This window comes from Homo sapiens, chromosome 9 (assembly GCF_000001405.40).
Source record: "Homo sapiens chromosome 9, GRCh38.p14 Primary Assembly".
In the NCBI taxonomy this organism is placed as follows: domain Eukaryota; kingdom Metazoa; phylum Chordata; class Mammalia; order Primates; family Hominidae; genus Homo; species Homo sapiens.
The window spans coordinates 13,125,492-13,139,085 of NC_000009.12; the positions used below are offsets into that span (position 1 = coordinate 13,125,492).

Here is a 13,594-nt window from a genome sequence, read left to right on the forward strand (position 1 = left end):
TAAGGGGAGGGACAGATGCAAATTATTTCTTTGTCAGGACTTGGGTAAAGAAAGAAATGGCTCTAGTTTCTCTCTAGCTTTTCCAAATGCTTGATGTAGATTAGGGCCATGGTTAATTTCTACTCTAAGTCTAGCTCTGACCACATTTTTTTCTTATATAAGACTTTCAACTTTTTACATCTCTAATCTCATCCGTTTTTCTGAATGCCTACAACCTTAGAAGATATATGGGTTATTTTACCTACTTCCTGATTCTATAGAAGCAACTTACACAAACAGTTTTAATAAAATAGAAACACATATGTTAGAAGCAGAATAAGAAAAGTATACAACAAAAAAGTCAAGGTAAACGAAAAGTTAAAACACAGATTTATGGGTTAAAGGATCTGGCCTAAATACTTACTAAAAACTGAATTTTTAAAAAGTAACTTTAAGCTTCTTACTGTACAATGAAGAAATGATAAGTTATATGGTTCTCTCTCACTATAAGAAAGAAAAAGCATACCATATTTCAAGGAAACAAAGCTTTTTTCTGGCACTAATAAATAAAAGGCCTCAAATGAGATACCAAATAAGTATTAAGATCTCTTTTGAGGAGAGGGAACTCAAGTACAAGATATGTTTAACCCTAATAAAAATTACGTATTTAATGGTTGAGTCTTACAATCTGTTTATAAAGTAGTATACACAATGGATATTTATAACAGCAAACATTCATTAAAAAATATTTTGGCACTAACAGTCACTGTTAAGGAGTTTAAAGTTTTCCTAAGGAAAAAATGGAAATATTTATCAAAACTGCCCAGTGAATATTGAATAATTTGTGTGGCAACGAAAAATACCTTAACACCAACTGGAAAATAAGAAATAGAAATTGAAGAACTTCTGAACAATCTCTTCTTTTCCTTAAGAACATGTCTAATACAGCTACATAACCCTAATTCTCTATGATCGCAGACACAAACACTTTAATCATGCCCAAGGATGGGCCTACATTACCATTTACTTTATTTTGGAAAATTACCTTTTCAATAGGGTAACCAACAACAATTTCATCATCTACAGCCAGTATCTGATCTCCGACTTTGAGTCGTCCATCCTAAATGGAAACGTAGAAGAATTTGAGTGATATTCCAAAAGTAATTCCCTCCCCAACTACTTAATGACAGCAAGAAAGGTAAACCTCACCGTGGCTGCTACCCCATGCTCTGTTAAGCTCTTTATGATGACTCCACTGAGTGTATCTTCTTCGCTGATAGCAATACCCAAACCCCCCTGATCCTAGAAAAGTAAAAACAAAAATGCTCAGAAGACTTGAAACAGATTAATTTTATCCAAATGGATACCAAGGGTAAGAAAAACAACTAAAACTCTTCTGAAGTCCAGAAATCTAAGACCTTAGACTTTAAATCTAAGATCTTAGAAATCTTGTCTTTTCTTAAACAAACTTTCAAATTTTCCTAATGGGAATAAATTTTCCTCCATCAAACATTCAAGTGTTTTCACTCTTCCCATATGTCTGACATCTTTAGTAACTTTAGCAAAATATCTAGACAGCAAAAATACATTCAATAATTCAACCAAAACATTCAGCATTTACAAATTTTGTCTAATGACTGAATAAGTCATTCAAAACCAACCAAAGAATCCCGCTTCTTCTCTGGCCTGTCGCTTGGAAATAACAACAGGGTCTAGCCCCTTCATTCTTTTCTGCCCCTCTTCTTCCTTTAGCAGGCAGTCTGCCATTACTGATGCAGACTCTGTCCTTTTGGGGGGTGAACACTCAGACTTGTTTCTCCAGACAACAGCATTTCAATCTGCTGCAGACTGAAAATGCCTCTCAGTCCCAAGACAAGCTCTGAGAACCTGCCAAGGCTGGGGAGCTACACCTACTTCGCTACATTTTCCACATTTCCCTTTATCAAAACCAAATGTTCAGAAATATTGGCTTTTAGCTTTCTTTAATGTTTACTTTAATAAAATTAAAACAGAGTTTTTAACATTTTCATTGCCAGAGCTAGCCACCTTCTAATTTTTTCTCCAGAGAAAAGTTACAAAAAGCAAAGAAAAGAAAAGAGAATCTTGACATGGTTTCTCTGAAATATACACACAAGTTAAATGTGCCATCAGAGATGTTTATGGTCATGGCTGTGACATCAAGGTAGGTTTCAACATCATTTTAAAGATTATCAACATGTGGCTCTTCTGAGGTAGATTATTAATGCCTGATGAGTTTGAAACTGTCACTGACCATCTCTCTACCACCTCTCTCTTTCCAGGCAATCAGTCATGTCTATCTGCCAGAGTAAGCTGCACCTTTAGAGTGAGCAGAACTGACTTTACCTTCTACCTAACTATAGAAATTTGGATATGCCACTTAACATCTCTAATTCTCAATTTTCTTACCTACGAAATCTAGATTTTCTTATCTACAAAATGGAATAATAATACTTGTCACATAACAGTCATGAAAATACTTTATTGGTACAGTGGGTATTTGCTGATTGTTTACCTAATACTGCTTCCCATCTTACCCCTCTATAAAAATTGATTTTTATTAGAATATCTAGCCTTCCCACCCACTCCTCTCTCTCCTCCACCTCCATATTCTCTCTTCCCCCTTCTTCCCTCACTATGTTTCAGGCTGTAGATTAAAAATATGAGCAGAAATTCTTTGATACTTCTTCCTTCAGGAAGGAACCTAAAAGCATGGGCTAGACTTAGTGACTTGATTCTAACAAAGAGAATACAGCAGAAGTAATGGTGTATAATTTCACAGCTAGGTCAAAAAAGGCAAAGGCACTTCCTCCTTGCTGTCTCTCTTGGATAACTTGCTCTGCAAGATGCCAGCTGCCATTGTCCTAAGAAAATTCAAGCAGCCCCATTTAGAAGAAATAAGGCCTGTTGCCAACAGCCATTTGGGTAAATCATCTTGGAAGCAATGTCCAGCCCAGTCAAATCTTGAGATGACTGTAGCTGTAGCTGGCAATGTGTCGGCAATTGCACAAGAGATTCTCAGCAGAACCCCCAGCTAAAATGCTCTGAAATTCCTAACCCATAGAAACTGTGAGACCATAAATGCCTGCTGTTTAAGTTGTGAAGTTTGGTGGTAATTTGTTACATAGCAAAAGTTAAGGAGCTCCAAGAATGGGGTTTGAACAACTGAAGTCAATTCTACAATTACAGTCCCATGGTCACAGTCCCTGGCTCAAAAGTAGACACATGATCTGAATTGATTCAATTAGGATGAATCTTGGAACTTTTGCTCAGAAGGCTTGAACAGCCATCCTCTCCCTTCTCCCAAGATACATGTAAAAGAAGTAGCACATGGCCAAACTATGGTTGGCAGCCATTCTAAAACCATGAGAAAGACAAGCCTTGGGATAAAGCTGACACTGGATGGCACAGTGTCACACAGACAGGGAAAAAAACGGGCTCTCGATGACACTGTTCAGTCACAGGACCAACTACCCTTGAAGGTTGCTGACCTGAGTCCATAAATCTTCTTCCTTGATGAAACCTGATGGAATTAGTTCATTTTTTTCTGTTATTTGCAATAAGAGGAGTCCTAAAAGAAACAATAAGCTACAAATCTGCATGTATAATATGCCCAAACTCAACTAGAATACTACAAAAACAACTATATACACATCAACAAACAATTTATTGATATCAGAAAAGCAGGATGAGGCTGGGCGTGGTGGCTCAGACCTGTAATCCCAGCACTTTGGGAGGCTGAGGCAGGTGGATCACCTGAGGTCAGGAGTTCAAGACCAGCCTGGCCAACATGGCGAAACCCCATCTCTAATTAAAGTACAAAAGTTAGCCGGGCATGGTGGTGCACACCTGTAATCCCAGCTACTCGGGAGGCTGATGCAGGAGAATCGCTTGAACCCGGGAGGTGGAGGATGCAGTGAGCCAAGATCACACCACTGCATTCCAGCCTGGGCAACAGAGTGAGACTCAGTCTCAAAAATAAATAAATAAATAAATAAATAAATAAAAATAAATAAATGAAAAGAAAAACAGGATGACACATAAGAAAGGATAACAGCATATGAATGTGCAATTTTTTATCTAACTGCTCAACTTTCCAACTTACTTTTACCAGAGTGCATATAGTCCTTAGCAAGAAGAGATCTGAGATATTTTGTTTGGGGCTAGTTATTAAAACACTACCATACAGGGAATAGAAAACAAATTAAGGAAATATATTTTTGTGGGTTTTTTTCTGTTTTAAAATATTATTTTAAACCTTTTTTAGAGATGGGGTCTTGCTATGTTTCCCAGGCTGGTCTTGAATTCCCACCTCAGCCTCCCAAATAGCTGGGACTACAGGCATGTGCCACTGTACCTGGCTCCAAGGAAATATATTTTTGAACAACGAGTTGTATAATTAAACAGCTAGAAAAGAGTAAACAAGAATTAAAAGTGGAATTCAGCTAAACAAATTAATATTATTTGGAGAATTATTTTGAAGGTAGAAACTTCTCTAAAATTCAAAAGAAGAAAAACTCTTCATCATATTTCAAGGCTTTCACCACATAAACTTGTATGGATATGAAACACAGCTTTGACAATCACAGAAGGCTACTACCTGCTTTGATGTATGGGTCCTTTCCTAGGGCAAACTGTGTCAAAAATAAATCTTTAATCAAAAATGTTTTCTGATCAATTGAATTTGCATTTCAGTCAGCTACTGTGGGTTTAGATTCTATGTATGAGAGCTTTCTGCTTATATTCTATTTTCCCATTTTTAAAAAATATAAAAGATTAAAAAAAGATAATTCACTTCTCAGGAGTTTCTAAGGAGTCAAAACAGAACTAGAAATGAGCTGTTATTAGAGCTCCCACTTTTAGACAATGCAAAAATCATTCTCTTCCTGACTCTCCTGATCTCAACATTTTTCCCCTTATGCATGTACGGCACATAACCGTTCATTCACTCTTCCTTCGCAGATACTTACAGTCTGAACTATGTTGATGACACTGAGTAATGGAAAAAAAAGTGAGAATTTCTTCTCTCAGCATGTGTATGTTTTAGATGTACAGAAAAGATACCCACATCAAAGTTCATCACAGGAGACAAGCTCTAGGGTCAAACATGGTTAAGTGACAAATAAAATGAAGACATTAATAGTAAGCACTATATAAGCCAGAATATTGAAGTAATATTTCAAAATAAACAGAGGTGAGATTTAAGTTGGATCTTTAGTGTATGTAGGATTTATATAAGTTAAAAGAAATCAGAAAGACCAAGTGATATAAACCAAGGCAAAGAGGGATAAATTCTCAAAACCTTCTCCATGAGCTCTTGATTCAAATCAGTTTGACTGAAGTACAGGATTCCTAGAAGGAACATACAGGCATTTCAGAAAGGCAGATGGGGCCCAGTAGCAAGTTGAAACAGGTAATGGATGGGAAATGGGACTTGGAGGCAGAAGACCAGAGTTCAATTCCAGCTCTACTATTTGGAGTTATGGGAACAGTTCAAAGTGGAGAAAATAATAGCAAGCTCACAGGGTTGCTAAGAAGTAAATAACATAATGAACAAATGTTACATTACCATTAAATTACTTTGTCAAATAACTATAATTTAAAAATATATAGGATAGTAAAAATGACAAAAGATTTCAGCTGATTCATGAGTGTTAAAAGCTGTTTCTTTCTCCCTTCTTTGCTTAATTTTTACTCCCAGAGCCATGTAATAATGGGGTTAGGAGTGCCAGGCTTAGTGTAATATGTCACTCAACATCATTTGTAACAATGGCTTCCTCAAGAGATGTGTTCAAGGATATATTCTATGGGGAACTCACAAATTCATGGTTAGAAGTATTAACAAAAATAATAATAATAACTCACACTGTGGTAAGCACTTTGTATAAATTCTTTCATTTAATCCTTCCAATAGTATCTCTAATATAAAGGGATTTTCCTCATCTCAGGAGGAAAGTGAGACCCAGACAAGTTAAACGGTGTAGAAAAACAGCCTGTTGTATGGCAGGAGTGACACCACCTTGAAGCGAAACCGCCATGGTGACCAATGTTTGACTCCTGCATACCAAGGTGTTCTGTAGCGAGCCCTGTAGCATAAATAATCCTTCATAAAGATGTTTACCTAACCTCTCCACTGATAACAAGTTTCAGCAAGAAATTCTGAGACGTGACCAGCTACATGTCTTTATCCCTGCTATGTAAAGAATACTTTCTAGAGGGTGGATGCTGGGATCCACTGTCTTGTGGCCACCAGCAGCATGGCTTCTGTACGTTAAGTCCCTATTAAGTATTTCTTTCTGATAAACTGGATTTGTCAGCCTCTTTCTTCAGGACCCCAGCTCCCTCAGTCTTTGGAGGTTGCTTTGCATATACCTGCTCACCATGGAACAAATGGCTTGCCTATTGCCCAGAGAAGTTAAGTGACTCCAAAGCCCACACTTAAAATCATTAAAATCATGGTTAATTGCCTCTTCTGTCTAGCTACTTTTAAAAGATTCTTGTATGTTCCCCTTACTTACTTTGGCTTTCATCAATAAATACATTCTAGCTACCTGAGCTTTAGATTTGTTTGAAATCTACATATAAATGGAAGCTTTCAGCGGGCAATACATTGAGGTTCTCCAAGGTCTTGCATTCCTCAATAGCATCTAATTTAGAAAGGGAAGTACACATAATAGACATCTGCTGAATAAATAAAAAAGGAGGCGAAAGGCAGAAACCAGCTTTTATATTGCAGAATGAAGGAACCTTGCTCATTAGCTCATCCAATCCCAACAATAACCCTTAATATAGGCAGCACCATTTACAGAAGACGAAAGTGAGGACCAATGGGATTAAGTGATTTATAGGCAATCACTCAGGATGTGAGAAGGGCTTCTGACAGCACAGGCTTCTGTCCACCCTCATTGCTAAATGCCCAGCCAAAGAACTTGAATGTATCTGTTTGGAAATGAACGTCCTTGGGAGGTTCTGAGTAGGGGATTAAGATGCTATGAACATCTATCAAGCACCTTAATCAGGTAGCCTAATGTGGAAATAGATGTGGAAACAGAAAACATCAGAGAAAATCAGTGACAGGTAGCCATCAGGCAACTCTATACCAGCTTATTCATTCCTAATTATTAAAACAATAATAATAGCAAGCACTATTTGTATATGTGTGCCAGGTGCTGGAAACTGAACATATGTATATTTAATTTTCACAATATATACTTAATTCTCACTACAAGTCTATGAGGTAAGTTGGACAATTATTAAGTCCATTTTCAAAAGGTGAAACTATGTACACGTTAAGAAACATGCTCAAAGTCACAGTCTCATAGATAGTGAGTGGCAAATCTAGGTCTCTGACACATGTGGTCTGGCTTTAAGTCTGCTCCCAATCACTACAGTATGTTGCCCTTTATCCATCTAACATGTTCATTCCACAGACATTTCCTGGGCAGTCATTATATCCTAGAATATACTAAGCCTTAGATGATACATTAAAATCAATACCATGAAAGGATATTTAAAAATTATCTAATTTTGGACTTTTCTAAAGATCACCATAAACAGATTTTTTAAAAAAATCATTCATTATAAAGTATTCAACATACATTTAAATGTTTCATAATTAACAAATTATAGGGAAATGACTGCATCATTAAATATTATAAACTCTTACTTCAGGATTTAGGAGGAAAAGAAACTAAGAGCAGAAATCAGAAAGGGAAAGAGGAAGATGTCATCTCTCTTAAATGGCAATAGAATGAGGGATTCTCAAACTGAAGTGTATGGACTTCTTGATAGAAAGGTAAAAAGACTTTAATAACTTCTTTTCTTTTTAACCACAACAATAATAGTCCATGATAAAGACTTCTCTTATATGTATAGTAAGATTGCCTTTTTAAGGCAATCATCGGAGCCGAAAGTTCACTTCTAAATATATGAGCTTTCTTATTTTTAAAGGACAAGACTATAACTTCTGTTTCTTTATTTTTATTTCCTCCGTAGCAGGACCTTAGTGAAGGAATCAATGGACAGATAACTAAATTTCATAACTTGGAATAATTATAAAAGGGCAAGCTGGACCCCTGATAAAGTATCAGCACAGTCATTTTCAAACGTAAACGTGCATCAGGCGGGTCTAATAAAACACAAACTTCTCGGCCCAACCCTAGAGTTTCTCATTAAGCAGATAAGTTTGAGTGGGCCCAAGTATTTGCAGTTCTAACAAAACCTCAGATGATGCTGATGCTGTTAATCTGGAGACCACACTTTTGAGAACACAGTGAATTAGAACACTGAGGTAAAGGAACTCACATCATTTCATTCCAATTCAAAGCAGATTTACCTTGGGAAGCTCCAGATGTTGCACATTTTTAAATGAACTGAGGTCCACAGCTGCATCAGAAGTAGTAACAGTTGGCTCTGTCTGACAGAGGGAAAGAAATGACAAAAAGAGCAACTGAGTGTTAGGAAATTTGATTTGTTTAAATATAAAGGCCACTTATTCAAAATTATTTTATACATTATATAAAATTATTTTACATTTATTTATTTTAATACACTATTGCTATTTTAATACATTTATTTATTATAATACATTTTTGCTATTTTAACATTCTATGGAATTTATGAACATTACATTCTCTTCAAAATACTTACGAGGTGTAACTGGACAGCAATCAGTTGAGAGCACAGATAGACCAAGTGGCTTGAAGACTGCCTGGGTTTACTGTATAATGAAAACCGATGGTAGCCCAGCTAACAAATGGTGAAACTCAGTGACAGAGCATCAGCAGAAACACCATTCATTATTCTTTACTGTGTTATTTATCAAGTGAATTGAAAACTTTAATGAACGTTATTAAAATACTCCATTTCCTTAAGAGACATATTTAGTACAACTAATATGAAAAGAAAATATATTACCTTATAACCTAATTATCTTAAATAACCACGTGGCTTAGTGGAACGTTAGGAGCAGCCGGAATGAGACAATGATTTGTACATCTATCTTATGTATACATAAGCTCTATGTTTATATATTCATTTAGGAAAGAATGTTTCTCTTCCTACAGGTACCCCCACTGATAATCACCAAAGTTCCTCTAATTTTAAGCTTTTCATTCTCTACTAACTCCTTTTATTCATCATACACATGTATCCAAAGCTTTCCTAAATCAAAACAAAACCACTCTCCCAATTCTCTGTCACCCTCTAGCCACTGCCTCTCTCTCTCCTTGACTTCTTGTCCATCATTTGCTTTCTCAAAAACCACTAACAGTCTCCTAGTTACCACACCCAAGGGACTCTTTCTACTCATCTTCTCACTGGATTCTTGCTACATGGCAGCATGTAGAGCTGTGGAGTGTACCCTTGAAGGACACTCTTCTCCGCTGCTCTGCCACATGCCCTCCTGGTTCTTCATAGTCTCTGATCTCTTGGTTAGCCTTCCTCCTTACTGTTGCTACCACATGATTCTGCCCTTGGCCCTCTTTCTCTCTAAATGCTCTCTGTAGCAAGCACCTCAGCCTCCATGGCTAAGAAATGCCAAATCTGCATATACAGGAAATCATCTCTAAACTGGAGACCAAATGTCCCAATGTACATTTTTACCAGGCTATCCAACAGGCACTTCGTTCTTAACCTGCCCCAAATAGAATGTACCATATTTTTGCAAATATCTTTCTGTATTTTCTATTCAGTAAAAGACAGCCATCCCTCATGTCACTAAGTCAGATATCTGAAAACCTTGTATATCCTACCTGTTTTATTCTCCAGTCCAAAGAGCAGTATCTGGTATAAGGCAGAGTACTCAGAAAATATTTGTTGGATAAACACATCTTCAACCACTCATTTTTCCTCAGTGAGTACATTTAGTTGGGGATGAAGTATTATCAATTTGGGTCTTAAACATCTGATGTAACCATTCCCTCTTCCAGCTTTAGTTCAGGTCCTTGTTAACTGTTTCCTGAATTATTCCAATAATTATCTTACTTCCTCTAACCTCTCTCCCCTGCTACCTCTGATTTTTCTCTACAGTACTGCCAGAGAAATTTTTAACTAAACATTTCTCATTCTTTGAGCTCCACACTGCCTCAAAGACAAAGCTGGCACATGTTGGCCTATCAATGTATCCCATGATCTGACCCTGTCCCCTTTAACATTGACCCTTTCCCCACCAGCTTCCATTCCCTGCCCCTCATTGCTCAGTGATGCTCTACAATTTAGCTTCCTGCATTGGCCAAAGTCTCCATGCCATTCCTCACTCCATGCCCTCCGCTTGCAACATTTTTGCCCCCCAAATCTTCCAACATACACTTCATATGTAACCTTCCATATAAAGTTTTATCCTCAATTTCTTTTCAGAGGCAGAACTGATAACTCTTTTCCTACCCTCACTATTCCCTAGGCAGACTACAAGTACTCTTCACATAAGTGGTATGCTTATTTCCATGAGTGTCTTCTTATACTAGGATGTACACTCCTTGAAGGCCAAGGCTATAACTTATCTACCTCTAATATCCCTCTCTAAGTGTTATGTAATTGTTGATTGAATTAATAAGGCTCACATCAATCAAGTCTTCCCAGAGAAACAAACATAAGTTACATATACCTCCTTATTTTGAAGATTTTCTGAGTTAGAAGGCAAAGGTTCTACTGCATTTCCAGGACATACGGCCATCTGATTCACTGCATCTTTATTTCTAAAAGCAAAAAAACAACAACCTATTATAACATCATGGTATTATTTTCATTCTCTTACTTCAAGAGTCAGAAGGTTATTAGAGAAAATTATTTAACCCCCAAAACCTGGAACTGTGACACTTACAAATTTACAAACGTTTTCTTTTTTTTTTTTTTTTTTTTTTTTGAGACAGAGTCTCTTTCTGTTGCCCGAGCTGGAGTGTAGTGGCACAGTCTCAGCTCACTGCAACCTCCGCCTCCCAGGTTCAAGTGATTCTCCTGCTTCAGCCTCCCTAGTAGCTGGGACTACAGGTGCGTGCCACCACGCCCGGCTAATTTTTTTTTAGTAGAGACGGGATTTCACCATGTAAGCCAGGATGGTCCCGATCTCCTGACCTCATGATCCGCCCGCCTCAGCCTCCCAAAGTGCTGGGATTACAGGCATGAGCCAGCATGCCCGGCTACAAATGTTTTCTTTTCATTCAAAAGAACTCAGAGAAGAAATGCTAACAAAAAGTATTTGGTAAACTAGCAAAAGAAAATGATCACCTGATAAAAATTATTTTCACTTTAGAAGGGGCACATTTAATGATTGATGAGGCATTCTGATGACTTCTTCCATATAAAATCTGACCATTGATCTGTGAGAAATAAATATCATTAGTTGGGCCTGAAATCTTAGTATCATAAAGTTTTATCATCCTTCCTCATTAATGAAAAGCACATTTTTTCTTCCTTTAAAATATATTTTATATTAAATGTTATATATTTTCCTCCCCAAAACATGAAACTGACTTTTCATGGTGAATAAAGAATAGCTCATGTTTAAAGCCAGCATTAAAATAATGCAAATGAAGTCTGACATCCATGAACTGCTGATAAAGAGGCACCACTTGGACCAACTGCAGGAGAGTAGACAACAAATTTCCTGGCAGGCACTGGGCTCCCAGCATGCTCTGCACAAAACGAGGGCTCTGTGGAAAAACTTGCGACCTGCAAGACCATCCTGGGAAGTTCCTTACTGTCATATTTCCCACTTAGTCTCAAAACTCAAGCCCTGGAAATAGGTCACTGGGAGAAGAAATGCTAGGTAGATTCAGGATTTAGGCAGCAAACTGTGCCTAAACAGCACAGTGCCTAACGCAAATGACTGGCTCAGTCATTTGGTCATTTAGCCACTGCCTGACTGAGCCTCCTGTGTCTATAGGGAAACATACTCAGCATGAGAAGAGTATAAAGGCAGTATAAAATCATGTGGATCCCAGCCCAGGAGGGGCAAGGACAAACAACACAAGCAAATAAAATTCTAAACCCTATAAAGTATGGTCCACAAATTTATTTTGTTCGGCAGGCTGAGTTACTGCTTGTTCTTTAGCCTTAACCTTGACCCCACCCCACCTCACCCTCATCACTTCTCCCATTAGTGATTCAAGTTCCAGAATGTCCAGTGGGTCAGCCTCTGGGGAATGACTGGTCACTTGGCTTTTCAAAAACTCCTAATAAAAATGCAGCACACAAAACAAATGCTTTTGAAGTGTAAGCTTTATTACTATCTTGGGGCAAAAATTGTTTCTGGTGCTACACAGTCATGACCTTTTAATGGAAGTTAATGGGAACATGGACTCTACTTGGTAGAAATTTGGTTTAGAGCCAGATTTGCTGCAATGCATCTATTTTATTAAGCAAGCAATGGCTTTCTCAGTCACTATAAGGTATGGGTGATTTTCTGGAAACTGACAGTTCCATTACCCTTATAAAACAAGAATAAATTCAAAATTTTCCACAAAAACTTACCTCTAGAAGCTCATCTGCAATTTGCAATCGACCATCTTTTCCTGCAGCTCCATTTGGATCAATCCCCACTATGAAGACACTCATCCTGGATCGGTCTTTGTTCCCAGCAAGACTTAGGCCCAAACCACTATGACCTTTCTCCAGTTCAATCATATGCAGCTCGCCTGTTAGGGTTCCATAACGCTCTCTGATATTTTCTACATACAACAACAACAACAAATACATATTTACAGTTAATTTACAGTCAAATGCTTTACTGTGGAAAGCTATTTAGTTTTACCTCAAAAGGACAGATTTTATACCAAAATGTACGCTTTGACAGTTAAAAGCTAAATAGACTAGGCACTTGGGCATCAGGACTGGTTTCCTGGAGGACCCAAACTTTGAGGAATTTCTTTGCATCTAGGGTGCAGAGAGCACAATGTCTGATTAATCAGTTCACCTTGGAGTGGTTACACCAAAGAGAAGTAATTCATTTTACAAACTCTCAAAAGACTATGATTAAACCAGAAACTTGATCATTTGCAGAGGAGAACAGAACTAAGGCATCCAGAATATCTGTGTTCACTGATCAGTGGGAGCTTTTCTCCCATAGGAATTTCAACATTGTGTATCACATCATGTTGGGCAGTTGCTTGATAGATATATGCAAAATGAAGAGAATGAGCTTTCTTATTGCACAGAGCTATTAGGCCAGGACAACTTGATATATGTAACCCAGTTTTGGGACACACGTCCTAATGAGATGAGACCATTTACATCTCCTACCCCACATCTTCAAGAGGTGATGGTTATTGTGCACCCTCTTTAATCTAAGAGGGCTGACGCCTCACGCAGGTGCTCCAGTGCACAGCCACAGATGAGCGACCAGCCAACAGCCAGCACTACTTGACAACCATGTAAATGAGCTGTCTTGGAAGTCCAGCCCAGCTGGGCCCAGTCACCCACTGCCCTTTGATAGATTAATAATAAATTATTGTTTTATGCCATTACATTTTGGGGTGGCTTCATAATAGAAAACTGAAACATTTCAGTTCACGTTTTCCTCAAGATTACATTCTGACCACATTGATTGTTAGCAATATGCTCTAGTGTCACTGAGAACAGACTGCGAAAACTACAAACTTTA

General features: G+C 37.7%; 1 protein-coding gene across 57 annotated transcripts in view; it reads right to left on the minus strand.

The window, feature by feature from the left end:
• MPDZ (multiple PDZ domain crumbs cell polarity complex component) overlaps positions 1–13,594 on the minus strand; it is a 173,986-nt gene that overhangs the window by 19,785 nt on the left and 140,607 nt on the right. For 55 of the 57 annotated variants that reach the window (NM_001375425.1, NM_001375420.1, NM_001375419.1 and 52 more), the window contains 6 exons: positions 12,466–12,662; positions 11,221–11,312; positions 10,601–10,691; positions 8,333–8,413; positions 1,189–1,281; positions 1,025–1,099 (listed from right to left, as the gene is read on the minus strand). In NM_001375425.1, the coding sequence (NP_001362354.1) occupies positions 1,025–1,099; positions 1,189–1,281; positions 8,333–8,413; positions 10,601–10,691; positions 11,221–11,312; positions 12,466–12,662 (629 nt within the window). Of the gene's footprint in view, positions 1–1,024; positions 1,100–1,188; positions 1,282–8,332; positions 8,414–8,646; positions 8,746–10,600; positions 10,692–11,220; positions 11,313–12,465; positions 12,663–13,594 lie in introns of all 57 variants that reach the window. The other 2 variants (XM_047424046.1, NM_001375413.1) reach the window with 1 other exon arrangement.